We start from the raw sequence: 25239 nt of genomic DNA on the forward strand, positions 1-25239 counted from the left end.
ATATAGATCATAGATATGATTATATATGAATATCATTAATCATTAGTTGGTAGCAATTACTCTTTTTTCCAATATTATAATAATCCTCGCTCTACAATCATAGCCTAGGAAAAACCAGGCCATACAGAGATATGAGGGGACATAGTGAGGAGTAACCAGAAGACAAGAGTGCGAGCCTTCTGTTATGCCCAGACAGGGCCACCAGAGGGCTCCTTGGTCTAGCGGTAACGCCAGCGTCTGGGAAGATGCCTATTGCCAGGCCAACCATGGTCTAGCGGTAGCATCAGTGTCAAGGAAAAACACCTGCCACTTAGCAGACCGGGAAAGGGAGTCTCCCTTTCCCCAGGGGAGTTTAGAGAAGACTCTACTCCTCCACCTCTTGTGGAGGGCCTGACATCAGTCAGGCTCGCCCGCAGTTATCCGGAGGCCTAACCGTCTCCCTGTGATGCTGTGCTTCAGTGGTCATGCTCCTAGTCTGCCTTCATGTTCCATCCTGTACACCTGGCTCTGCCTTCTAGATAGCAGTAGAAAATTAGTGAAAGTACTAAAAGTCTCTGATATGCAGAAATAATGGCGTAAACTGTTCTCTCTCTCTCTGCCTCGGCTGCCAAACAGGGAAGGGCCCCGTGTCCAGTGGACATGTGACCCACGTGATCTCACCTATCACTGGAGATGACTCACACTCTTTACCCTGCCCCTTTTGCTTTGTATACAATAAATAACAGCGCAGCCAGACATTCGGGGCCACTACCAGTCTCCGCGTCTTGGTGGTAGTGGTCCCCCGGGCCCAGCTGTCCTTTCTTTTATCTCTTTGTCTTGTGTCTTTATTTCTACAATCTCTCGTCTCCGCACAAGGAGACAACAAGGGTCGTCTCCCACCGACCCTGTGGGGCTGGACCCTACGGGTTGGGACAGGGCCCCGGGAGAAGGCGTCTGAGGGCACGGGTACTCACCTCCTGGACTTGCCATCCCCTTGGGCTTTGTGCTCAGCCCTCGCCCTCCTCAGCTCTGCCCTGGCCTCAGCCACCTGCTCCTTCTTTGCCTGGATCTGCAGGAAAAGGGTCCAGACAGGGCTGCCCCTCCCCATCCCGCACCAGCCCCTGTGCCCACACCCTTCCACACCCTACGTGCCCACCGCAGCTGGCTCCCAGGCCTGTGCCGAGGCTCTGGGGAGGGGGAGGGGTCCCTTGAGGGCTGGGCTGGGGGCTCTCCTGGGAGCTGCTACCTTCGTCTGGAGATTCTGCATCGACTTCTCGAACGTACTGGGGGTTGCTCGCTGATGGTTGCAGAGAATGGCCACGACTCGGTTGGCTCGGTTGTAGGATAAGATCTTAGCTGCTATGCTGTCCTCGGCTGAGAGGCACGGGCTGTCAGAGGCAGCACCCACGGGGCCGGCCACCCTCCCTGTCTGCCCTGAGCCGGCCTTAACGCGCCACACAGCGCAGCCCCTTCCACTCACACAGGCACCCACTGGGATGGGGAGAGTGAGGGCCAAGGGTCAGTGACCCTCCAAGGTGGCCTCGAGAGCAGGGCCCAGCGTCTTTAACCACAGCAACAAGGCTTCACGTGGGGCCACAGCACAGGTAGCACCACCCGGGCCTTCCCAGGCCCCATGGCAAGGAGGAGGCCCAGCCGCCTGGACGGGCGAGTCTGCCTGTCACAAGTCCCCAGCACCCGGCTTCCCCTGGCGAGTCTGTGGGTCCCTGCCTGTCACAAGTCCCCAGCACCCGGCTTCCCCTGGCGAGTCTGTGGGTCCCTGCCTGTCACAAGTCCCCAGCACCCGGCTTCCCCTGGCGAGTCTGTGGGTCCCTGCCTGTCACAAGTCCCCAGCACCTGGCTTCCCCTGGCGAGTCTGTGGGTCCCTGCCTGTCACAAGTCCCCAGCACCCGGCTTCCCCTGGCGACATCCCCTCAAGGTACCACGTTGTCTCCATTTTCCAGTCAAGAATGAGGTTCAGAGAACGTAAGCACTGGCCCCAAGGCACCTACTGGAGCGGCCACTCCTTCACGCCCATCCTGCATGGCCCACCCAGCTCTGGAAGCACGTCCACAGTGGGCCCAGCACCTTCATTTCCTCTCCCAGGCCCGGCCTCGGCCCCTATGCCCTCACCCAGAATCTTCTGCCTCCCTCAGTGGAGGGGGCGTCTCCTCTCCTGGGGCTCTCACCTGGATGCCAGCTAGCTCCTCCGCATCCCACAGCCCCAGTGCTGCCCCAGCTCCAAGGTTGTCCCCAGGGCAGCACAGCACCGGCCTCTGAGGCCCACGGGTGCACGCGAAACACATGCCGAGCGTCAGCGCCCCTGAGCACCCAGCCTCGGCGCCTCCTCCAGGAAGCCCTGCTTGGGGAGTGCGGTGGGCGCCGGGGTGGGAGGCACCCTCTGGACAGTCTGTGCGTCCAATCTGCCCGGACATCACAGAGCAGCCCGGACATCACGGAGCAGGGGCAGCGCCAGGGACAGAGGGAGGAGAGGCCCTCGCCAAGCTTAGACAGCATCCCCAGGTTGATGGCAGGGGACAAAGAGCAGAGGGCCCTGAAGCTGAGACAGGGCCGTGGACAGAGGCCCAGAGGTCGGGGTGCTCAGACAGCTGAGGGTGGGAGGGACAGAACCACTGGAAAGTGCAGAGGCCTCCTGGGCCTTCAAGAAAGAACCCTGAGGAGGAGCTGAGGAACACCACCAGGCCATGGGGCCTGAGTAGGGCTCAGCAGTAGGGGCCGCCCCGCAGGGAGAACGTGGCTGGGATGCCTGGGGTCCCGAGAGCCAGAACCTCCCTCCTCCTCCCCAGGACTCTGGCCACCTAGGCTGCCAAGCAGCCAGCCCACAACCTCAGCCCATTTCCCAAAGAAGCGGCCCCACCCCGAGGCTCACTCAACAAGGGCCAGCCGGGGAGCCCGGTCTGGGGCAGGGGCCGTGCTCCCCCCGCGCTGAGTGTGGGTGTGGGGCAGGCTCACCGCGCGTCAGGGCCCGCAGCTGCTCCTGCAGAGTGATGGAGGCGTTGTAGGTCCGGAACACCTTGGCCGTCAGCCCGTCCATCAGCTCCTGGAGGTGCTTGTTCAGGCTGGTCGTCTGGGGAGGAAAATGGTCTCTATAATTACGTGGTTTTGCGGGGCCGTCCCAGCCTCCCGCGGGAAGGAAAGGACATGTCAGCCGTTGGGTCAGGACAAAACCCTGGGCCAGACTCAGCGCCCACGCCCTCTCACTGGGTCCTGCCGCCGCCCACTGCTGAGGAAACACGAGCCGGCTTACGGTCAGCCTGTCGAAGAGGTCGTCCCGGGGGTCCTTGTTCTCCATAAAGAGCTGTAAGTTCTTGTACACCTGAAGGAGAAAGAAGGAATTTCAGAGGACAGAAAAAACCCGAATCCAGTGAGGACCTGAAGGGCGTCTACGCAGAGCCTGGGAGCCCACGGGAGGCTTCCCTGAGGAAGGTGGCCCGAGCAGCATCACCGTCACCTGTCGGCATCCTCCCGTGACACGGCCCCCACCCTCCAGTGTGGCAGTCACCGCTACCACACGCACAGGCAGCGTGCTCAGGAGGTGGGCGTGACTCCTGCCCTGCAAACCCCCTGGGTGACCGCGGCAGGTGGCCCAGAGTCCCCGGCTCCTTCTTCCATCAATGCCGGATTTCCACCAGGTGAGCCCACACCCTTGTAATGTGAGACACTCATCTGACATCACAGGACCTCAGGGCCTTCGGGGTTCCTGTGTCCAACCTCCCTCCACCAGTCCCTTTGGGGAGAGGACATTAATTCCCTTCTGGAAAGACCAACCCTGCTCCGAGGAAACGCCAGCCTGCACCTGCACCCATGCCTGCCCTCCCCTCAGTTTCACCTGCTGGTCCTCCTACAAGTGGCAGGCACCCTCCCTGAGCGCTGGGCATCGGCTCCAGGGCGGAGGTTGCTGTGGCCTCTGTGTTGCTCTCTCCAGCACCAGCATGGCAGCCCTCCCTCACCAGACACGGGCAGGAGGCCCCGCACCCCCAACTGGCCCCCTCATCAGCCTGGCACCATGGCTGATGAACCCCATTCTACAAACCCACAGGCACCGGGACATGGCGGGAAGCCCCAGCCCACAGCTCCCGACTTCTGGCTTCTTCCCTCATCTTCCTCTACACGTTTGGTTTCACACCGCTGATCTTGACGAGGCTTTATGTCCCGCCTTTTTCTCTACATCACATGCATTCCGTTACCGAGTGCTCCCCTGGACAGCACTGCAAATGGCTGGCTAGTCCTCTGTCTGGACAGAGTGCAACTCCCCATCCAGGCCTGCACCACAGCCGATGCTTCACCACGGCAGGGGCACTGTGGTGAGCACCTCCTTGCCTCTTCCTTTCGTGTGTTGGCTTCTGTCTCCTACCTCCGATTAATTCATTCCTTAGGAATGACTTCCCGACCAGACTGCCTGAGGCCGGGCCCTGCCAGGGACTCCTGTTTCTCTGCTGCCCTCAACACCTGTCCCCAAACTTCCATTTCTGTTTTTCAACGGCTCCACTCCATCCCACGGTTGGGTCACATTAATTTTTTTATTTTTTTTTTTAATTTTTAGAGACTAGGTCTGGCTCTGTCACTTGGGCTGGAGTGCAGTGGCACAATCATAGCTCACTGCCGCCTCCAACTCCTGGGCTCCAGCAACCCTCCCACCTAGCCCTCCCAAGGTGTCTGGACTACAGGTGTGGGCCTTGCGCCCAGCCTGAGTCACATTTGTGCTTTTGAGGTGCAGGGAGTTCGTGCGTGGATCTGTCCAACGTCACTGCGACGTGGCGCCCACCCAGACAGGGGACACCGTGACTCTTCAGGACAGCCATTCAAAGGTGAGGATGCTCCCCAGGTTCCAGTCTTCCTTCAAGCCAGTCTGGAGACCAGAGATCTACCCAGCCCTTCCCGACCACACTCATCCCTCTGGGCATCTATGCTGGTGGAGCTAGGGGCTGTGGGGGTGGTGGGCAGCCACTAGTCCCTGCAGCAGAGGAAAGAGGGCAGCCCCTCCCAGGTGTACTGGGGTGAAAAGTGTTCCCGAAATTCATATCCTCACCAGAACCTCAGAATGTAACCTTTTTTTTTTTTTAGAACGGTCTCAGCCAGCCACAGTGGCTCATGCCTGTAATGCCAGCACTCTGGAAGGCTGAGGCAGGTAGATCACGAGGTCAAGAGTTCAACACCAGCCTGGCCAACATGGTGAAACCCTGTCTCTACTAAGAATACAAAAATCAGCTGAGCTTGGTGGCAGGCACCTGTAATCCCAGCTACTCGGGAGGCTGAGGCAGGAGAATCGCTTGAACCCAGGAGGCGGAGGTCGCAGTCAGCCAAGATCTCACCACTGTACTCCAGCCTGAGCAACAGTGCGAGACACCGTCTTGAAAAAAGAAAAAAAATTTAAAGAAGACAGGGTCTCATTTTGTCACCCAGGCAGGAGTGCAGTGGTGCCATCTTGGCTCACTGCAAGCTCCGCCTCCTGGGTTCACGCCATTCTCCTGCCTCAGCCTCTCAAGTAGCTGGGACTATAGGCGCTCGCCACGATGCCCGGCTAATTTTTTTTGTATTTTTAGTAGAGACGGGGTTTCACCATGTTAGCCAGGATGGTCTCGATCTCCTGACCTCGTGATCCACCCGCCTTGGCCTCCCAAAGTGCTGGGATTACAGGCGTGAGCCACCTTGCCCGGCTGTTTTTTTAAATTATTATTTCAGAGACAGGGTCTCATTATGTTGCCCAAGTGGTCTCAAACTCCTGGGCTCAAGTGATCCTCCCACCTCAGCCTCCCGAAGCACTGAGATTACAGGAGTGCACCACCATGCCTGGCCAGAACGTGACCTTATTTAAAAACAGGGTCTTTAGAGACTGATAAGATGAAGTCATAGAAAGAGTGGGCTGGGCCCTAACTCCAATACGACAGCGTCCTTGTGAGAACACGCAGAGGCAGAGATGCAGGGAGAAGATGGCCATGTGACAACGGAGGCAGAGACTGGGATGAGGCAGCCTCAGGCCAAGGACACGCAGGATCCGTGGCCCCACCAGATGCTGGGAAGGCAGGAGGATCCTCCCCGAGTGTGGGCGGGATGTGGCTCTGCCAGCACCTTGACTCAGACTCTGGCCCCCAGGGCTGAGCGACAATAAACGTCTGTTAAACCACTGGGTCTGCAGTGCCTTCCTCCAGCAGCCCTGGGAGATGCTCCGGCCGGGGGGCAGGAGACGAAGCTGGCGTGACACACGTGCCCTTTTCAGCCCCCGACCAGCTCCCTTGTGAACCCTTGGGTCTACCATGGTGCACAGCCTCTCCTTCACCTTTACCCCGATCAGCCCCGGCACAGCAGGCCTCACCCAGCAGGCAGGACGTGGCAAACGGGCCACAGACCCCACGGCAGCTCCGGCACGCCCCCAGACATCCAGAGCAAATACGTGTCACATAGCGGGGGCAGCTGGCGCGAGGGCACTCACCGGCTTCTCCACCGGCACTCTGTTGTAGTAGCGGATGCAGTCCTTCCCCAGGAAGTCAAATTCCACCACGTGTTGGCAGCCATCGGCCTCCGGGTGCAGCTGGACGTGCTCCACGCGGAGGGAACAGCAGCCCACGGTGTCGGCCGCCTCACCGTCCTCCTTCTCATTTCCTGCTCTCAGTGCCAGCTAGTTGGTGGGGAATGGTCAAAGTGGGTGGTGCGTGCACACGCACGCCACACACACGCACGCCACACACACGCACGCCACACACGCACGCCACACGCACGCCACACACGCACGCCACACACACGCACTCCACACACGCACGCCACACACACGCACGCCACACACGCACGCCACACACACGCACGCCACACAGGCACGCCACACGCACGCACGCCACACGCACGCACGCCACACGCACGCCACACACAGGCACGCCACACACAGGCACGCCACACACACGCACGCCACACACGCACGCCACGCACGCACGCCACGCACACATGCCACACACGCACGCCACACACAGGTACGCCACACACGCACGCCACAAACACAGGCACGCCACACACACGCACGCCACACACGCACGCCACACACGCACGCTACACACACACGCACGCTACACACACACGCCACACGCACGCCACACACGCATGCCACACGCACACCACACGCACGCCACACACAGGCACGCCACACACACAGGCACGCCACACACATGCACGCCACACACGCACGCCACACACGCACGCCACACACATGCTCACCACACGCACGCCACACACATGCACGCCACACACATGCACGCCACACCCACAGGCACGCCATACAGATGCATGCCACACACACAGGCACGCCACACACGCACGCCACACACAGGCATGCCAAACACGCACGCCACACATGCACGCCACACACACAGGCACGCCACACAGGCACGCCACACGCACGCCACACACGCATGCCACACGCACGCCACACAGGCACGCCACACACACAGGCACGCCACACACAGGCACGCCACACACATGCATGCCACACACGCACGCCACACACACACGCCACACACATGCACGCCACACACATGCACGCCACACCCACAGGCACGCCATACAGATGCATGCCACACACACAGGCACGCCACACACGCACGCCACACACACAGGCACGCCACACACGCACGCCACACACATGCTCACCACACACGCACGCCACACACATGCACACCACACGCACGCCACACACAGGCATGCCACACAGGCACGCCACACAGGCACGCCACACGCACGCCACACACACAGGCACGCCACACAACAGGCACGCCAAAGATGCACGCCACACACACGCACGCCACACACAGACACGCCACACACATGCACGCCACACACATGCAGGCCACACACATGCATGCCACACAGGCACGTCACACACACACGCCACACGCACACCACACACGCACGCCACACACGCACGCCACACACGCACGCCACACGCACGCCACACGCACGCCACACACAGGCACGCCACACACGCCACACACGCACGCACGCCACACACGCACGCCACACACAGGCACGCCACACACATGCACACACACATGCATGCCACACACAGGCACGCCACACACGCACACCACACACGCACGCAACACACACGCACGCCACACGCACGCAACACACGCACGCCACACGCACGCCACACACGCACGCCACACACGCACGCCACACACAGGCACGCCACACACGCCACACACGCACGCCACACACGCACGCACGCCACACACGCACGCCACACACAGGCACGCCACACACATGCACACACACACATGCACGCCACACAGGCACGCCACACACAGGCACACCACACACGCACGCCACACACAGGCATGCCAAACACGCACGCCACACATGCACGCCACACACACAGGCACACCACACACAGGCACGCCACACAGGCACGCCACACACACAGGCACGCCACACACGCATGCCACACACAGGCACGCCACACAGGCACGCCACACACAGGCACGCCACACACACAGGCACGCCACACACATGCACGCCACACACGCACGCCACACACGCACGCCACACACATGCTCACCACACGCACGCCACACACATGCACGCCACACACATGCACGCCACACCCACAGGCACGCCACACAGATGCATGCCACACACACAGGCACGCCACACACGCACGCCACACACACAGGCACGCCACACACGCACGCCACACGCACGCCACACACATGCTCACCACACACGCACGCCACACACATGCACGCCACACAGGCACGCCACACACACATGCACGCCACACACATGCTCACCACACACGCACGCCACACACATGCACGCCACACACACAGGCACGCCACACACACACGCACGCCACACACACAGGCACGCCACACACGCACGCCACACGCACGCCACACACATGCTCACCACACACGCACGCCACACACATGCACGCCACACACACAGGCACACCACACACATGCACGCCACACACACATGCACGCCACACACATGCACGCCCCACACAGACATGCCACACACAGGCACACCACACGCACAAGTGCACACACACCACACAATGCACATGCACACCCTACACACATGTTCACACCCACACACGTGTGCACATGCACACACCCCCCCCATCAGAATGAGGTTCCACCCCACACACAGGCCCACGTCGCCACACTGCACCATCCAACTGGGAGTCCTCGCCAGGAGAACCAGGATGAAGAGCCGCCAGGAAGCGAGAAGGCCGCATACCTTATCGATGAAATACAGGGCCACCGCCCGCTGTCTCGTCTTCATTTCCCGAGACTTCCAGTCAGCCCGGTACTGGGAGCGGATCTCGTCCACAAATCCCCGCAGGCGTCGAGCTGTTTCAAACTTCTGCCAAGCTGTCTCCCCCTAAACGAAGAAAATAACAGGAAAGAAAACATTCACATTCCTGTTAAATAACGGAGGAGGCTGTCAACTCTCCCTCCCCCAAACCTCGTGCTTCTCCACTCAGTGGTGCCGTGGTCAGGGGCTGGGGCAGCAAATCTAGCTGGGTGATGCCGGCAGTGAGCACCCATGCCCACTCCTGGCTTTGGGGCTTGTGCCTGCTGGCACAGCATGACCTCAGCACGGGCTGGCCGACTCCCAGCCCATCTCAGAAGCCTCTGCCGGTGCCCGGCTTACACACCTCCCTGCCGGCGTCCTCAGGGGGACCTCCTGGGGAGGAAACACCCTGCCAAGCCCTGCGCTCACCTTCAGCTTCGAGCAAGGGTTCAGCATGATGTACTTGATGGAGTTCTGAACGCTCTCGGTCCAAGCTGCCAGCCACGTGACGGTGTTATCGGAGCGCACCTCCTTCCACTGGTGCCCCGCCGGCGGCTCGGGGATCTTCGAGTCCCTGCAGCAGAACAACGACCCAAACATAACTTGGAGACCTTATTCTCTGGAATGCAAGCAAAAGGAGCTGCTCTGGTCAACCGTCCCACGTGGTGGCTATGGTGGTGGCATGGCTCCTGACCGAGTCTGGCATCAGAGGTGGCCTGCCTGGCAGCTCAGACAAAAGCAGCCACTCAATCTACCCTCTGCACACACAGGAAGGCCACAGTGCACCAGGAGGCTGGGCGGCCACCCAAGCAAGGCACCGCTCTGCACAGACCTCTCAGCACCAACTGGGACGACGAGTGCCCTGCCCCACACAGCCTGGCCACTGGGGGTCCTGCAGGCAGGGTCCCTACTCCACCCTGTGGTCACACAGTACAACATGTGGCCCAGCAGTCCCCTCTCCACCACTTGGAATGTCCCTCCAATAAGTTCAAAACACCTAATGCTACTGGGCCATCCAGATGGTGTGGGATATGAAAACCACATGGAGGTGTCCTTGGCGGGAGAAAGTCTCAGCCATAGCAAGGCGAGGACTTCCGACCCCGTGGGAAGCACCCTGGGAAGGCCGCCCTTGCCCGGCCACGCCTACAGGCTGAGCTCCACAGGAATGGTGTGGGGGTCACCAACCACATGTTTCTCGGTGTGCCTCCCTCTCCCAGGAGGTGAAGAAAAGCCAGCCTCACCCGGGTGGCGGGGGTCCAGTGCCCGCCTGCTGCCCGCCCGGCCACGCACCTGCTGCAGTTGATAACCACATCCTCTGGCGTGATCCTTCTCTTCAGCATCCCCATCTTGGGATGGTCGCCACGGCCACGGAACAAGCCAGGCGGCTCAATCTTGAAGTTGCCTATTTTTTCTTGGTGACCATCTAAAATACAGTAGCCGAACTCTTGCTGAAGTTTTTCTGCCTCTTCTTTTAGCTTCTGAGTTAATAAAACAGTCAGTGGACATTAGCAGTGAAGAGAAGAGAACAGGCCTCAGTCCGTTGTTGCTAACCCGGGACCACCCTGCTCTGTCTGGCTAACTCAGCTGGACCCTCAAAGCCCTTCACAATCCATGGAGGTTGCAGGGGCAGGGGACAGTGCAGGTGGGCTTGCAGGGGGCACCGAGAGCCATGGCCTAACCACCCCATGGCCTGGACTCCCCGGCCCCTGCACAGACTTCGGCTGTTTTAGGCCTAAGCAGTAAAGCCAGGTGGAGGGAGCGTGGCTGCCCGCCATGGAGGAGGAGGGCTAAGGGAATCCCTGAGAAGGCCACATGGAGATCACAGCACGGCAGGTTCCTGTTAGATGTAGGGAGACGCATGGCACAGAACAGCAAGAAGCCGACTGGCCTGCACAAGCCCCGCCCTCAGCCCACGGCCCGTCTGGGAACCCACCCTTGATCAATGATGGTAAATTATCCATTTCAAACCGGGTTTACTCTCAAATGTGCTCTGGGGAAGCGGAACGACACTTAAGCACATGCAGGGGCGCTAAGGCTGACGAGAAAAGAGCAGCTTTGTGAGAAGGGGCTTCTCTAAGGCCACAGGCCTTTCTCAGTCTTTGGGCCAGGCCGGCCTCTCGTTCCCAGGGGCCACTTCAGGTCACACAACGCTCGAGGCAGCCCAACCTGCTTCTCCTCCCTGCTCAGGACTTTCCGGGCTGCGGCCTTGTCCACAAAGTATCTGTGGATCTCCGTGAAGTCACACTTGTCCAGGCTCTTGATGACTTCCCTCTCTTCCACCGCCATTTCCTGCAAAAACCACAGACACGCGCTCTCACCATGTCTGAAGGACAGACATGCAGAGCGCTCTCGCCATGTCTGACGGACAGAAACGCGCTCTCGCCATGTCCGACGGAGGCGTGTGTGCAATAGGCAGAACCTGCGCACGGTCCTGCGGCCCCGTAAATAGAGCCTCTCCCCGCAGACCCCACAGATAGAGCTGGTTCTGTTATTGCAGGCATGGAGTTGGGTGGGGCAGCGGAGGGCACAGTTCTCCAAAAGCAACTTCACAACAAGTCAGTAGTAAAACTGGCTAAAACCTTTGCACCCAATAATTCCACTTTGAGATCCATCCTAAATAAACTCTCCAGTATGAAAACCCGGATGACGACCGCACTAAGGGCAACTGCAGAAACGTCATGACCGGACAGAGCAGGATACATGGTCGGGAGCTCATCTGGTGAACGTGACGGGATTCGCGAGGGCAAAGTCTCAGTCCATACGTGCTGCTGCCACAAAATACCGGGGACTGGTCAGTTGTAAATCATAGTCACAGCTCTGGGGGCTGGAAGGCTGGGATCAGGGTCCCAGCATTTGACGTCTATGGAGGGCCCAGTCCCTGCTTCTGAGAGGATGCCCTGAAGGCTGTCCTCACACAGTGGAGGGGACAGAAGGACAGAAGGGGCCCAGCTAATTCCACCCAGCCCTGCCCTAAGGCCCTAAATTAATCCTAAGGGCTGCAGCAAGGTGGAGTCCTCACAGCCCAATCAGCTCCTAAAGGCCCTCCCTCTGTCCTGTGGTGCTGGGGATTCAGTTTCAAGGTGAATTTTGGAAAGCACAGCAGAAAACAGTTTGACGATGATCTACCCGTGTGGAGACTAAGCGGGATAAAATGCTAAGTGGGGAAAACATTACAGGCACACTGATCACACTCACACGAAAACTAGTGCCCAGGAAAAGCCAGGACGCGGGAACAGGAGACACTGACCTGAGGGAGAGCCGCAGATCACAGGCAACTGTTTCTCCTTTCGTTTCCTACACAACAAAAACTCTGCACAGCCCATGGACAAAAGCCCAGGCTTGCGGGCACCAGCTCACGGTCCCAGTCCAGGCTCGGCCACTTAGGCCTGTGAGACCTCAGGAGCTGCTGTCAAACGTGTCTCGCTGTGGGATGGGGATGATCCGCCTCTTCCGAGGAGCTCAGGTACGACACCATCTGTGCCAGGATGGAGCCCTGCTCGGCCACAACCACGGGCTCAGGGTCCGTCCCTGTGTCTCCCGGGGCCGCCGGATGTGCCACCCACTCCTGTTCTGCTGCTTTGTGACACTGCCTCCCTTCCTAGCTCTGCTAGTGACTGGAAGAAGTGCTGACCAGAGGGAGAATGAGGATGCCGGGCAGCTGGTGCCACCTCACAAAGCTGTCGTGAAAGGCAGAGGGGTGGCATCAGGCCAAAGAAGAGGGTCCAGAAGCGGAGCCTGCACAGGGGACAAGGAAGCACAGGCTCCAGCAGCTGGCTCGGGGCAGTCAGACACCCACATGCAACACACGAGCCTCGGCCTCTACCCCACACTATAACCAAAATTAACTCAGAGTTCCACCTAAACCAAGCTGACCTCAATGGAAACCTAAAACCAAAACTTCTAGGAAAAACATAGGAGGAAATCTCTGTGCTGCCGAATTCAGCAGATTTCTTAGACAAAACAACAAAAGCAAACCTGTGACAAAACATGAAACGTGGGACCTCATCAGTATTCCAAACTCCTGACCTTCCAAAGACATTGTTAAGAGAACGCAAATAGAAACTACAAACACCATGAAAGATTTTTGCAAATCATATTTCTGATAATGGACTTAAAACAGGACACAAAAGTACTCACCATAAAAGACAGATTGATAAACGGCATAACTAAGTTACAGTTTTCTGTTTGGAGACCTCACTGAGAAGTGAAAAGGCAAAGTCTGGGAGATGACATTCACAGCATGTGCGTCTGGCAAAGAACCTGCACCCAGGATGCGTTTTTAAAACTCCGATAAATGAGCGAGGAATACGCAAGCAACTCAGTTTTTTAAATAGACAAAAGTTCACGAAAGAAAATACTGAAATGACACGTCAGTACACCAAAAGATGCTTAATATCACTTGTCATTAGGGAAACGCAAACCACACCCACGGCGAGGTGTCATTTTGTGCCCACTAGAAAGGTGCCTCGCACCCGCGGCAGGCGTGTGGACAGTTCAGCCTGGTGTTGCTAGTAAGCTGGACACACGTGACCCAGCAATTTCACCCCAAGTCCTGTCAGAGGCAACTCACACATATGTGCCCTCACCCACGTGGGAATGTTCATGGCAGCTTTACACATGCAAAGGCCTAAAACAGGAATTAATCAAACACCCACGAATAGGGAAATGGACTAGCATGAGTCACGGAACAGAGGAAACGCGACCCGGCCAGAGCCAGGAAGATGCTGCGGGACAAGCAGTCAGGGGCGAGCCTCGCAGGTGTGGGGCAGACAGAAACCCCGGAGGGCACAGAATCCGCGGCACACACATAAAATCAGTCAGGCCATGGGCGAAGGGCAGTCACCTTGAAAATGAGCAAGGAAAAAGCCTTGAGGCAGCACCCTCCCCTCCAAAGAGCTTCTCGCCAAGCATGTCTTCCTGGGGGCTGGGAAATGGCATGCGGCCTCCTCTACTCTCCTTCTTATATGCCAGACCCCTGTCCTTTCAGCGGTCCATGGAGTAAGGACCACAAATCGGCCTCCACATCCACAGCCTGCCTGGGAAGGGAAAGGTCTGAGGTGCACTAGGCTGGACACACTGGCACCGCCTATGGTCCCAGCTACTCAGGAGGCCGAGACAGGAGGATGGCTTGAGCCCAGGAGCTCGAAGCTGCAAAGAGCCATGACGGCACCTGTGAGTGGTCACACAGGGGCCACCGAGAACTTGCGAGGGGCGTTCAGAGGCAGCACTGCAGAACCGCAGACGCCTAGCCAGCCAGGTCCAGGACAGCTGTGGCGGCCGCCCAGGGTACCTACCTTTCGCCAGTCATTGAAGAAGTTCTTCCGGAAAACCTCCTTTGTTGTGTATTCATGATCTAACATCCTCCCATAAAAAGTGGCGACCTCCTCCGCTGCCACGCTCAATCTCACAGGCCTTCCTGCAGGCATCGGAAGACACATCGTATGAGAGAGCGGCCAGAGGCTCGGCCTCCAGCTGACATGACCTCATTGCTTTAAACTACGCTTTCGTGCGTACTATGCCAAGAGCAAGAAGCTAGGCCTTCTTCTGTAAGTTCAGAAGCATGTTCTGCATGACACACGACAATCAACCTGCGTGGAGGTGGCGACCACAGTGATCTGGGAGCGGGTCGTGAGAAAGCTGCAGAAGATTTCAGGCGCTACTGCTTTCTCCTCCTTTACCACTTAACGTTGCTACTACATTTATATTACATGAAAATGGAACATGTACAATTTTAAAACACACCAATTTCCACAAAATTTCACAAGTAAAATAAAAGTTAAGGCTTCAAAGCAGAAAACTGAATAACTAGGTGTACCCTTTTACAACTCTGCGGCCTCTGTCCCACCATTCCCTGCATTTTATTCTAAGATCAGTGTGGTTTAGAGATGGGGGGTGAGCTGGGAGCAGGCGAGCAGAGTGAGAGGCTCGTGGTGGGAACGAGGGTGTTCACCAGGAATTCTTTCAACTGCACGTCTGAAAAGCTTTCATAAGAAAATTTTAGAGAAATAAATGCATAATCATTTGGTAAGAAGGAGGAAGGCATTTCTGATAAACAGCAGCAATCCTTCCCCAAACTAGCTTCTCAGGACAGAGGACGAGAGGCCCAGAGACCAGCAGCACAGGCCCGAGGGGCTCAGCTCCCACTGCCCCTCTGTGGAGGCTCGGCCCCACTGGGCCCCACGCGACACCACCACTCCCCGGACTGTCCACCATGGCCCTGCATAAGCAGTCCTCGCCTGCCATGTCCCTCCTGGCCAGGGAGGTCCTGCAGGGCTGCTGTGGGGCAGGCGAGGCAGCCGCTACACCAGGCCAGGGGCACAGCGCGAGACGCTCAGTAAGGTCCCATGGCCTCCCGTGGGCAGCCCCCACAGACACAGCTAGAACCTCTGTCCCTGTGGAAGCTCCAGTACCGCTTTGGAGAAACAGGCTTTGAACAAAACATTGCATCAAAGGAGCTCAGCAAACTCAGGTGTGCATGTGACTCGGCAGGGGGCCCACGGGAGGGCTGGTGGGAGGGGCACAGCATGGCGTGGGGGCCTGCCCTGGGGGAGAAGAGGTTTGCTTTTCTTAGAAGGATGCCTTCTAGCAGAGATGAAGAAAATAGGCTGAAGCAGCTAAAATCAGCAGCACAAGAGCCAAGCCAAAGCTCCTGGGCCCTGGGGTAGAGAGGAGGGCTCAAGGGCAGGAGGGGTGTGTGGGCCCTGCTGCCCCAGAGCCCCCGGGTCCTGCCTCTGAGGGTGGCTCAGCGCTCATGTCAACCACGGGCTCCGCTTCTTGCTGAGAATCACAAGCTGGGGTCAAGTGACCGTTCTGTGATCCATGTGTGTACACGCAGTGTACGTACTGTGTATACTCAGAACACACAGGGAACACAGTGGTGCGGGGGGAGGGAGGGGGGGTCCGCTTTGCCCAGAGGGTCCTGGACACAACAGGCACAGCCAGTGCAGGCTCAGCAGGAAAGGCAGGGACGGGAGCCCCCGAACTGCCACCCTCTGAGCATGGGTCAGTTGGTCAGCAGCCCCCACGCATCACCTGCAAGAAGAGGGCACAGAGCGCTCATAGCCAGAAGCCTGCAGGGGGGCTGAGGGAGCGAGCCAGATGCCCACTGGGAGCCCACGCCCAGGGAACCAAGCGCAGGCTGGGGAGGAGCCGCTCCCTGCATCCTTACCTTCATAGAAGAAACGCACTCCGTCGGGAAGGGGCTCGTATGGGGGTGCGAAGTACGGGCCCTTGTGCTCCAGCTGTCTCCACTTCACCCCGTCTTCGTGCTTCTCCTTCTCCCACCTAAAGACGGAGACAGGACGTGTCACTCTCCTGGGCCAGGCCCTGCATGAGCCTCTTCCCCGCTCCCACAGTGGCTCCTCCCTGTGGCTCCTAGCAGGTGAGCAGTGTGGCCTCCACCTCACGGGGGAGGAAAACAAGGCCTGCAGAGGGAGGCAACCCTACCTGACCTCAGACCCCATGCCCGTGTACCCGCCCATGCCCCCCACCTGCAGAGGCCCGTGTGCTGCTGAGTCACGGATCCCACCAAGCCCAGCTAAGCGGGAAAGGGCAAGCCCAGCTAAGTGGGAAAGGCAACGTGCCTCTCCCAGGCTCTAGGGCCTCTCCCCAGATGGGTCCCTTCAGAGCCGGTCTAGAATCTTCGGGAACCTCTCCATGGGACCATTTCATTTGCTAAATAAAGGACCTGGCTGCTTATGAGAGAGCCCTGCCTCCGAGGAGCTGGGTGGAAGGGGGTCCAGCAGTGCAGCCAGTGGAGAGGCACCACAGCAGGGCGCAGGACCGCCGCCCACAGAGGATCGGGCAGGGTGGAAGGGTGGAAGAGGCAGGGCGGGGTGGAGGAGGCGGGGCAGGGAGGGGAGGCCCTGAAGCCAGAAGCCTCAGGGGTTTTCAGGGAAGGGCTCCTTTTGTAAGGCACTAACACAGTGAGGCTCCACAGGGCTCCCTGCCAAGGTCCCCCTCCCCAGGGCGCCCCCTTCTGGCAAGCCCAGCTCTGGAGATTGGGGGGGTGTTGGAGGGGGTGGGGGGACACAGCCAGCGTGGCGGCTACAGCCCATCCTAACTCTCCAGGCCAGTCATCATCTATCCATTGAGGCAAGCCCAAGCCTGCCCTGAACCAGCACTGCGCTGGGTCCTGCGGATGCAGATCACCAAAACCCATACGAAGGGCTCAACTGAACCTAGATTCTGAGATGGGCCTGGGAGAAGAGGAGCGAGATGGGGCGTGGCTGGCAGGCAGTGGGCAGGCTCGGTCAGCAGGGCTGCGGGAAGAGCAAGTCCAGCACCCAGGATGGCCAGTGCAAAGGCCTCAGTGGGAGAGGCTTTGGCGAGAGGGTGGGAGCACCATCAGGATGGGGGAGAGTGAGATGGGCACACCTTCTGAGCCTCCCCCAGACGCACAAGGACAGAAGGTTCCAGATCACACCCCCACCTGCCAGAGCCAGGAGACCTGCACGTGACCCCAGCCAGGTAGTGCTGTTGGGGGCCTGGTGGGCCTGGTCGGCTGGGATGAGTGTCCTCAGAGCAACAGGAAGTCTCTGAAGGGTCTGAGAGGGGAAAGCATGTGCAACAGACATTTCTGAAAGGGCCTTTCTGGCTGTTTCTGCAGAGGAGGGAATGGGCAAGGTTAGAAGACGTAGAGACGGAGCTGATAAAGTAGGGAGAAGTTAACGGGCTCAAGAACCTTCCAGGGTGGAGCCGGGCGTGGTGGCTCACGCCTGTGATCCCAGCACTTTGGGAGGCTGAGGCAGGCTCAGGAGCTCAAGGCCAGCCTGGCCAACATGGCGAAAGTACAAAAAAACTAGCTGGCAGATGCTGCAGGCAGCTGGAGTCTGGAGGGAGACTCGGGGAGAGGGGGGTTCTGCTGACTCTGCAGAGCTTTTCCACGTCAGGTGAGACCAGCCTCACCTTTCTTACAGGTTTTAGGAGTTCAAGAGAGCCCACCAGCCCTGATACAGCATGTCTAGGGTGGGGCTGGTAGGAGGCTGCACCACTAAGTGCCCTGAAGGATGCAAACCTAGACAACGCCTTCTTAGAGAATAAGGGAAGATGGATCATGTCGGGTGTGAGAAAATGGGAAACCACGTGTATCTCGGAACTAACTGATAGGAGCCAGGCGCGGTGACTCACGCCTGTAATACCAGCACTTTGGGAGGCCGAGGCGGGCGGATCACTTGAGGCCAGGAGTTCGAGACCCGCCTGGCCAACATGGCAAAACCCCCGTCTCTACTAAAAATACAAAAATTAGCTAGGCGTGGTGGCGGGTGCCTGTAATCCCAGCTACTCAAGGAGGCTGAAGCAGGAGAATCACTTGAACCCAGGAGGCAGAGGTTGCAGTGAGTTGAAATTGCACCACTGCACTCCAGCCTGGGTGACAGGGCAAGATTTTGTCTCAAATAATAATAATAAAAATAAAAATAAAGAACTGACAGTGACCCTGACTGCCAAGTCCTTCACAAAGCCTCTAGGGTAGTCACATCACCAGTCTCATTTCACAGATGAAGACACTGAGGTGAAACAACCTGCCGGCCAGCGGCCAGGCAGGGCTGCACCACTGGGTGTGCGCTCAAGCCCAACTGAGGGCTGCACATTGTAGTGACATTCTTTCACCCCTGCAGAGACCAGGGCACCAAGCACCACCATCAGACACAAGCTGGCTTTCAAAGCCAGAGACCTTGCTCCAAACCCACCTGTCCACCTGGGCGACTGCAGCTCAGCAGCACTTTTTGGAAAGCACCTACCTGCCTGTGCACCCTCGGAGAGATGTGCCTCAATGCAGGGCCCACAGCCAGCCCCAGCTCCAAGCGCAGGCCAGAACTCCCTCCTCCCAAGACACCCTGCCCCATCTGGGGCTCTCTTTGGGTCCCAAGCTCCTGCAGGCAGACAGGACATTTCTGCAGCATGGCCTTAGGCAGCTGTGCAGGCCCTCAGCTGTGAATGGGTATGCTGATAGCGCACCACCAGGTCACAGAGACATGCCACGCTGGAAGCACTAAGTGAATGATGATAAACCGCGAGACCTGGCGGGAACTCCTGCAGGATCTCCCACGCACCAGTGAGGCTGTCAACTCTCCAGCTCTTCGGAAACTCCAGCATTTCATGCGCAGAGACCCATCCCCATGCGGCTACCCCAGGCCCAGTATGCGCCGGCAGGGCTTCTCACATGTCCTCCAGGAAAGCGCCTGGGACCACCAACGGCCACCAGGGCCACTGGATCCATGCGGCTTGTGCCTGGTGATGTAGATATGACAGTGAGCGCCCGCCGCCATGCAGAATCGGTCCTGGAGACAACCCGGGAACCGACTCCAGGAAAGAGCGGGTCTCAGAAGACCATGCACAGCAACATAAGCTTTTTATAAAGTACCTAACCAAACCCTACAGTGTTGAGGCCCAGGCACAGCTACACAAATGATGAAACCACAAGCGGAAAAAAAGAGGGGAGATTTCCCCAAATAGGGTTGGTGGGGTGGTGCCTGGGGAAGCAAGGGCGACGTCATGGGGGGGCCTGTACACCCCGGGCAGGAGGCGGGCCGGTCACACCGCGGCACGCATGCTCTCCTGGCCCGACTTTTGGGAAAACCGGAAGCAGGGCAAGGCCGTCCCACGAGGCCTGCCACTCCCCTTTCTGGACCTACCCAAGCCCGGTGCTCAGGGCCCTCGCCGCCTGCTCACTGGGACACCTTACCTGGCTCCACTGCCCTTCTGCGTCCTGCGCGAGCCCGGGACACCCCGGGAGGCCGGGCGGCGGGGGACCTCCCCGAGCAGCGTCAGAGCCGCCCGGAGCCGCAGCAGCCGCACCACGCGCATCTGCCAGCCTCCGGGAAAGAGCGACAAGCTGGGCCCCGCCCCAGCGGCCAGCCCCGCCCCGCCCCCAGCGGCCAGCCCCGCCCCCGAGCGCGGCCTCCGCCCCCAGCGGCGCTCATCCCAAGGCTGGGCGGTCTAAGCCTGCACGGGGCTGCGGCAGCAGGACCACTGACTGTCCTGCCGGCCTCCCCCTGGTTTCCCTGCCTTCGTGGTCCAGCGCCCCTTCACGCTGGGCGGGGACCCAGATCCAAACCCAGTCCCACTGACCTCTGCAGCACAGGGCTGGCTGTCAGGATGCCCCACAGGTCACACGACCAGGCCAGTGAACTCCTGCCCAGGGCTTGCACACAGCTCTCTCCCAGAGCCTCTGAGGGCAGGGGCACCTAGCAGGTCCTTCCTAAGTACACGCTCTGCTGCTCTGGAGAAGGGACCACACAGGCTCAGATGGCCCCCTACCTCATCCCCTACAAACAGCAGCACTTCCAGGACGCAGAAACCGGCAGAAGCACCTGCTGTCCAGCCCACAGCAGCCCCTCAGAGGTGGTGCCTCTGGACAAAGGTCACAGGAAGTCCTGCGAAATCATCCCTGCCAACCAGCCTCTCACTCCCAAGGAGACCAGAGACCAGGCACAGCTGGAGCCTCCTTCCTGCGCTCAGTCCCCAGCGTGACTGCTGACCCTGACCAGGGTTTAACCCCAGTGTCTTCACTGGGGAGCATGGCCAAGGGGCAAAACCTCTAGATCAGCACTTGGCGGTAGGCCCTGAGCCACAACAGGCCACACCGCTCACCTCTGGCAGCACCGCAGCCTTGGTCTTCCCCGGTAAAACCCTGACACCAGGACCGTGGGAAGCAGATGAATTCACATGCATTCCGCACTTTCACTGTGACCGTTGGGGGGAATGCAGTGGACACAGGCAGGAAAGGAGTCCGGGCTGCCACCGCACGCCCTCAGCGACCCTCCCCTGCCACCAACTGACTCAGTGTCCATGTCATCTAGCTGCTGGAAGCCATGGGCAGAGGCCGAGGGCTGCAATTGCTCGCTCTTAGGGCCCAGGCAGACCTGGTAGGTGTCCCATCATTTCAGAATGAGCAGCTCAGCAGCTGAAGGTACACACACACCAGGACACAGCAGCTGACTCTCCAGGTGGGCCACCTCCTCCCAGGGGCTGCGGAACAGTGATGCATATTTTTTCAGGTAACCCTTTCTACAAACCAGAAGAGGGCCTTGGCCCAGGCCCACCATTCCTTCAACGGAATCCTGAGGTCAATGTGTTTTCCAGTTCAGGTTTCTAAGGGTTTTTGATTTTTTGTTTTTTACTTTTTGTAGAGATGGGGTCTCCCTATGTTGCCCCGGCTGGTCTCGAACTCCTGGGCTCAAGTACCTTGGCCTCCCAAAGTGCTGGGATTTCAGGTGTGAGCCGATGCCCAGTTGGTTCCTCAGGTTTTGTAAGAGGGAGTGTGGCAGGACAAAAACCCTAAGATTTCTCAATAGATGCAGAAAAAGCAGCAGACAAATCCAGCACCATTTCATGATAAACAGAATGGAAAACCCACTCAAGAACAGAATAGAAAGAAACTTAACCTGAAAAGCAGCATCTACAAAACCCCGCAGCTAACCTCATATGCCAGAAGAAAGACTGGACGCTCCTGCTGAAATGAAGAATAAGACGAGGATGTCCACTCTCACCACTGCCTCTCAACATGGTACCAGAGGCTCTAACTGAGCAAACAGGCAAGCAGATGAAATAAGACACCCAGATCAGAAAGAAAGAAGTAAATTATGTCTATTTGCAGGTGGCATAATCTTGTATATAGAAAATCCCAAAGAATCCACAAAAATTGGCCGAGCACCGTAGCTCATGCCTGTAATCCAAGCACTTTGGGAGGTCAAAGCAAGTGGATCACTTGAGCCAAGGAGTTCAAGACCAGCCTGGGCAACATAGTGAGACCCTATCTCTATGGAAAATAAAATTTAAAAAAGAATCCACAAAAACTAGTAGAGCTAATAGATGAATTCAGCACAATTGTAGGGTACAAGATCAATATGCAAACATCAGTTGTATTTCTAACCAGTAGCCATACGCAAACTGAAAATGAAATTAAGAAAATAATTTATTATAGCATGAAAAAATAAAATACTGCACAATAAATTTAACAAAGGAAGTATCAAGCTTATACTCTGAAAACTGTAAAACATTGCCCAAAGAAATTAAAGACAGCCTAAATAAATGAGCAGCCATCCCATGTTCACGGACTGGATGATTTCATATGGTTAAGACAGCATTGGCCAGGTGCAGTGGCTCACGCCTGTAATCCCAGCACTTTGGGAGGCCGAGACGGGCGGATCACGAGGTCAGATCGAGACCATCCTGGCTAAAACGTCTCTACTAAAAAAATTAGCCTGGCATGATAGCAGGCGCCTGTAGTCCCAGCTATTTGGGAGGCTGAGGCAGGAGAATGGCGTGAACCCAGGAGGCAGAGCTTGCAGTGAGCCGAGATCACGCTACTACACTCCAGCGTGGGCAACAGAGCAAGACTCCGTCTCAAAAAAAAAGACGGCAATACTCCCCAAACTGATCCAAAAACTCAATACAATCCCCATCTAAATTCCAGCTGGCGTTTTTACAGAAATTGACAACCTGATCCTAAAATTCACAGGGAAATACAAGGGACCCAGAATAGCCAAAACAATGTTTGAAAAAGAATAACAAAGTTGGAGGATTCATACTTGCTGATTTCAAAACTTCAAAACTGGCCCAGGGAACACAGCAAGACCCCATCTGTACTAAAGATTTTTAAATTAGCCAGGCATGATGGTGTACACCTGTAGTAAGGGAGGAGACCACCTCTCATATTGTCTTCTGCCTAATTTCTGCCTCAAAGAAAAGAAAAAGTAGGAGTTAAAGAAAAGGCAGAAGTGAAATTCAATAGTCAAACAGCCCGGCGCCACACCCCAGGCCTGGTAGTTAAAGATCGGCCCGGACCTAATCGCTTCTGTTATCTACAGATTCCAGACTTCTTATGAGGAAGCATTGCGTAACTCCCTGTTTGGTTCTGTTCTGATCACCGGTGCATGCGGCCCCAGTTACGTAGCCCCCACTTGCACAATGTATCACGGCCCTTTCACATGGACCCCTTAGAGTTGTAAGCCCTTAAAAGGGACAGGAATCTGGACCTCGGGGAGCCCGGATCTTGAGAGGCGATTCTACTGATGCTCCCAGCTGATTAAAACCTCTTATTCCCTAAAACCGGTGTCCGAGAGGTTTTGTCTGCAACGTGTCCTGCTACAGTAGTCCTAGCTACTCAGGGGGCTGAGTGGGAGGATTGCTTGAACCCAGGAGTTCAAGACTGCAGTGAGCTATGATCAGGCTACTGCACTCCAGCCTGAACAACAGGCTCCATCTCTTAAAAAAAAATTTTTTTTTTGGCTGGGCTTGGTGGCTCACGCCTGTAATCTCAGCACTTTGGGAGGCCAAGGCGGGCGGATCACCTGAGGTCGGGAGTTCAGGACCAGCCTGACCAACATGGAGAAACCCCGTCTCTACTAAAAATTCAAAATTAGCTAGGCGTGGTGGCTCATGCCTGTAATCCCAGCTACTCGGGAGGCTGAAACAGGAGAATCACTTGAACCCGGGAGGTGGAGGCTGTGGTGAGCTGAGATCGCACCATTGCACTCCAGCCTGGGCAACAAAATGAGACTCCGTCTCAAAAAAAAAAAAATGTTAATTTTAAAAAGGGGGATAAATAATCTAAATAGACATTTCTCCAAAGATGAGATATAAAAGGCCAACAATCCTGTAAAAAGATGCTCAAAATCATCAGCCATGGGAGAAATGCAAATCCAACCCACAGTGAGGTCACCTCACACCTGGGTGGCTGCAGTCAACATGCTGGGGAGGGCGTGGAAAAGTGGCACCCACTGCACAAGGCCAGAGACACAGTTGGGGAGTCTGGGCCTGCAGACCAGAAGGGGTTTCTATGAACTGTCTGCCAATATTCCTGGGGTTGGCGGCCTCCTCCCCTTGTGCCCTCTTCTTCCCCAGGCCACTCAGGGGTTGCCCAAGGGAGCGGGGACAGGGCTTCACGCACTCTTCCTCACAGCAGGTAGGAGGACCCCTGTTTTGCATGAGAGAAACTAGGCTTAGAAAATTTAAAGAATTTCCCCAGAATCAAACAGGTGCTGAATGCAGGAGCTGATACCTATAAAGACGTTTCCCACCCAGAAGCCGGAGCTCCAAGGCTATGCAGGGACTGCCCAGGTGGGAGGCGGCGCCGCCCAGCAGACACAGCTGCGAGCAGTGGTGGAGTTTACCCCATCCAGAAGCCACACTGCAAAAGAAACAGTGACTTTGACCTTAACAATATACTTAATTTCAACTATTTCAACCAAAATACTGTCATTCAACATAATATGCTAATGCGATGGTATGCATCGTTCTTCTCAAAGCAGGCGTGCGTATCACACCCCCAGCACGTCTCCACTGGGAGAGCTGCGCAGCTCGTGGCTGCGTACAGGACACAGCAGGGGTGACGGCTACAACTGCAGTGTGGCCCACTTGTGGCCATGTGACCTTGGCCCGGTTACTTAACCTTTTTGTACCTCAGTTTCCTCATCTGAAAAATGGACATAGCAGTACCTACTTCATAGAGGACTGACCAAAAGCAATGCCAGACACACAGCAAACACTCACTTACTGCTGGCTGCTCCCAGTACCCTACAACCCACAGCTCAAAGCTGCCGATGCAAGAGGGCACTCTGGGGGGCACCCAGGCTCCCTGGCAACCTACAGTGGGCAGGCAAAGGCCAGCACTGTAGCATTCCCACATTCCCAGCACTGGTCTACACAGCACTCCCCGCCTCCCCCACCAGGGACAGGGAGGGGAAGTGGGCCTGTGCTGGTCTAAACTGCATTCCCCTGCTCCCAGCGCTGATCTACACAGCATTCCACCCCTGCCAGCACTGGTCTACACAGCATTCCCCCCGTCCCAGCACTGGTCTACACAGCATTCCCCCACTCCCAGCACTGGTCTACACAGCATTCCCCCCGTCCCAGCACTGGTCTACACAGCATTACCCCACTCCCAGCACTGGTCTACACAGCATTCCCCCGTCCCAGCACTGGTCTACACAGCATTCCCCCACTCCCAGCACT

At 57.4% G+C, this 25239-nt stretch overlaps 1 protein-coding gene across 20 annotated transcripts in view, besides 10 other annotated features; it reads right to left on the reverse strand.

The window, feature by feature from the left end:
• Positions 1-25239, reverse strand: part of TOP1MT (DNA topoisomerase I mitochondrial) — a 50654-nt gene that overhangs the window by 5450 nt on the left and 19965 nt on the right. For 4 of the 20 annotated variants that reach the window (XM_047421333.1, XM_047421339.1, XM_047421330.1 and 1 more), the window contains exons 3-14: positions 17714-17828; positions 16451-16566; positions 14577-14698; positions 11449-11571; positions 10573-10760; positions 9712-9856; positions 9226-9369; positions 6428-6613; positions 3245-3313; positions 2950-3064; positions 1226-1353; positions 954-1048 (exon numbers count right to left, since the gene is read on the reverse strand). In XM_047421333.1, the coding sequence (XP_047277289.1) occupies positions 954-1048; positions 1226-1353; positions 2950-3064; positions 3245-3313; positions 6428-6613; positions 9226-9369; positions 9712-9856; positions 10573-10760; positions 11449-11571; positions 14577-14698; positions 16451-16566; positions 17714-17828 (1546 nt within the window). Of the gene's footprint in view, positions 1-953; positions 1049-1225; positions 1354-2949; positions 3065-3244; positions 3314-6427; positions 6614-9225; positions 9370-9711; positions 9857-10572; positions 10761-11448; positions 11572-14576; positions 14699-16450; positions 16567-17713; positions 17829-19301; positions 19512-19966; positions 20108-20352; positions 20622-25239 lie in introns of those variants that run through there. The other 16 variants (NM_001258447.1, NM_001258446.1, XM_047421336.1 and 13 more) reach the window with 11 other exon arrangements.
• Positions 6294-6957: an enhancer, noted in NCBI's record as "H3K27ac-H3K4me1 hESC enhancer chr8:144403237-144403900 (GRCh37/hg19 assembly coordinates)". NCBI's record gives its function as "activates a minimal SCP1, AML or CMV promoter by ChIP-STARR-seq in primed H9 embryonic stem cells {active_cell/tissue: H9 hESC(primed)}" and the evidence as "EXISTENCE:reporter gene assay evidence [ECO:0000049][PMID:30033119]".
• Positions 6958-7621: an enhancer, noted in NCBI's record as "H3K27ac-H3K4me1 hESC enhancer chr8:144403901-144404564 (GRCh37/hg19 assembly coordinates)". NCBI's record gives its function as "activates a minimal SCP1, AML or CMV promoter by ChIP-STARR-seq in primed H9 embryonic stem cells {active_cell/tissue: H9 hESC(primed)}" and the evidence as "EXISTENCE:reporter gene assay evidence [ECO:0000049][PMID:30033119]".
• Positions 7622-8285: an enhancer, noted in NCBI's record as "H3K27ac-H3K4me1 hESC enhancer chr8:144404565-144405228 (GRCh37/hg19 assembly coordinates)". NCBI's record gives its function as "activates a minimal SCP1, AML or CMV promoter by ChIP-STARR-seq in primed H9 embryonic stem cells {active_cell/tissue: H9 hESC(primed)}" and the evidence as "EXISTENCE:reporter gene assay evidence [ECO:0000049][PMID:30033119]".
• Positions 8286-8947: an enhancer, noted in NCBI's record as "H3K27ac-H3K4me1 hESC enhancer chr8:144405229-144405890 (GRCh37/hg19 assembly coordinates)". NCBI's record gives its function as "activates a minimal SCP1, AML or CMV promoter by ChIP-STARR-seq in primed H9 embryonic stem cells {active_cell/tissue: H9 hESC(primed)}" and the evidence as "EXISTENCE:reporter gene assay evidence [ECO:0000049][PMID:30033119]".
• Positions 17122-17655: an enhancer, noted in NCBI's record as "H3K27ac-H3K4me1 hESC enhancer chr8:144414065-144414598 (GRCh37/hg19 assembly coordinates)". NCBI's record gives its function as "activates a minimal SCP1, AML or CMV promoter by ChIP-STARR-seq in naive H9 embryonic stem cells {active_cell/tissue: H9 hESC(naive)}" and the evidence as "EXISTENCE:reporter gene assay evidence [ECO:0000049][PMID:30033119]".
• Positions 19331-20015: an enhancer, noted in NCBI's record as "H3K27ac-H3K4me1 hESC enhancer chr8:144416274-144416958 (GRCh37/hg19 assembly coordinates)". NCBI's record gives its function as "activates a minimal SCP1, AML or CMV promoter by ChIP-STARR-seq in naive H9 embryonic stem cells {active_cell/tissue: H9 hESC(naive)}" and the evidence as "EXISTENCE:reporter gene assay evidence [ECO:0000049][PMID:30033119]".
• Positions 19331-20264: a biological region, named in NCBI's record as "H3K27ac-H3K4me1 hESC enhancer GRCh37_chr8:144416274-144416958".
• Positions 19555-19604: an enhancer, noted in NCBI's record as "active region_28069". NCBI's record gives its function as "activates an Ori minimal core promoter by ATAC-STARR-seq in GM12878 lymphoblastoid cells {active_cell/tissue: GM12878}" and the evidence as "EXISTENCE:reporter gene assay evidence [ECO:0000049][PMID:35858748]".
• Positions 19805-20264: a silencer, noted in NCBI's record as "silent region_19616". NCBI's record gives its function as "represses an Ori minimal core promoter by ATAC-STARR-seq in GM12878 lymphoblastoid cells {active_cell/tissue: GM12878}" and the evidence as "EXISTENCE:reporter gene assay evidence [ECO:0000049][PMID:35858748]".
• Positions 24364-25101: an enhancer, noted in NCBI's record as "H3K4me1 hESC enhancer chr8:144421307-144422044 (GRCh37/hg19 assembly coordinates)". NCBI's record gives its function as "activates a minimal SCP1, AML or CMV promoter by ChIP-STARR-seq in naive H9 embryonic stem cells {active_cell/tissue: H9 hESC(naive)}" and the evidence as "EXISTENCE:reporter gene assay evidence [ECO:0000049][PMID:30033119]".

This window comes from Homo sapiens, chromosome 8, assembly GCF_000001405.40.
Source record: "Homo sapiens chromosome 8, GRCh38.p14 Primary Assembly".
NCBI lineage: Eukaryota > Metazoa > Chordata > Mammalia > Primates > Hominidae > Homo > Homo sapiens.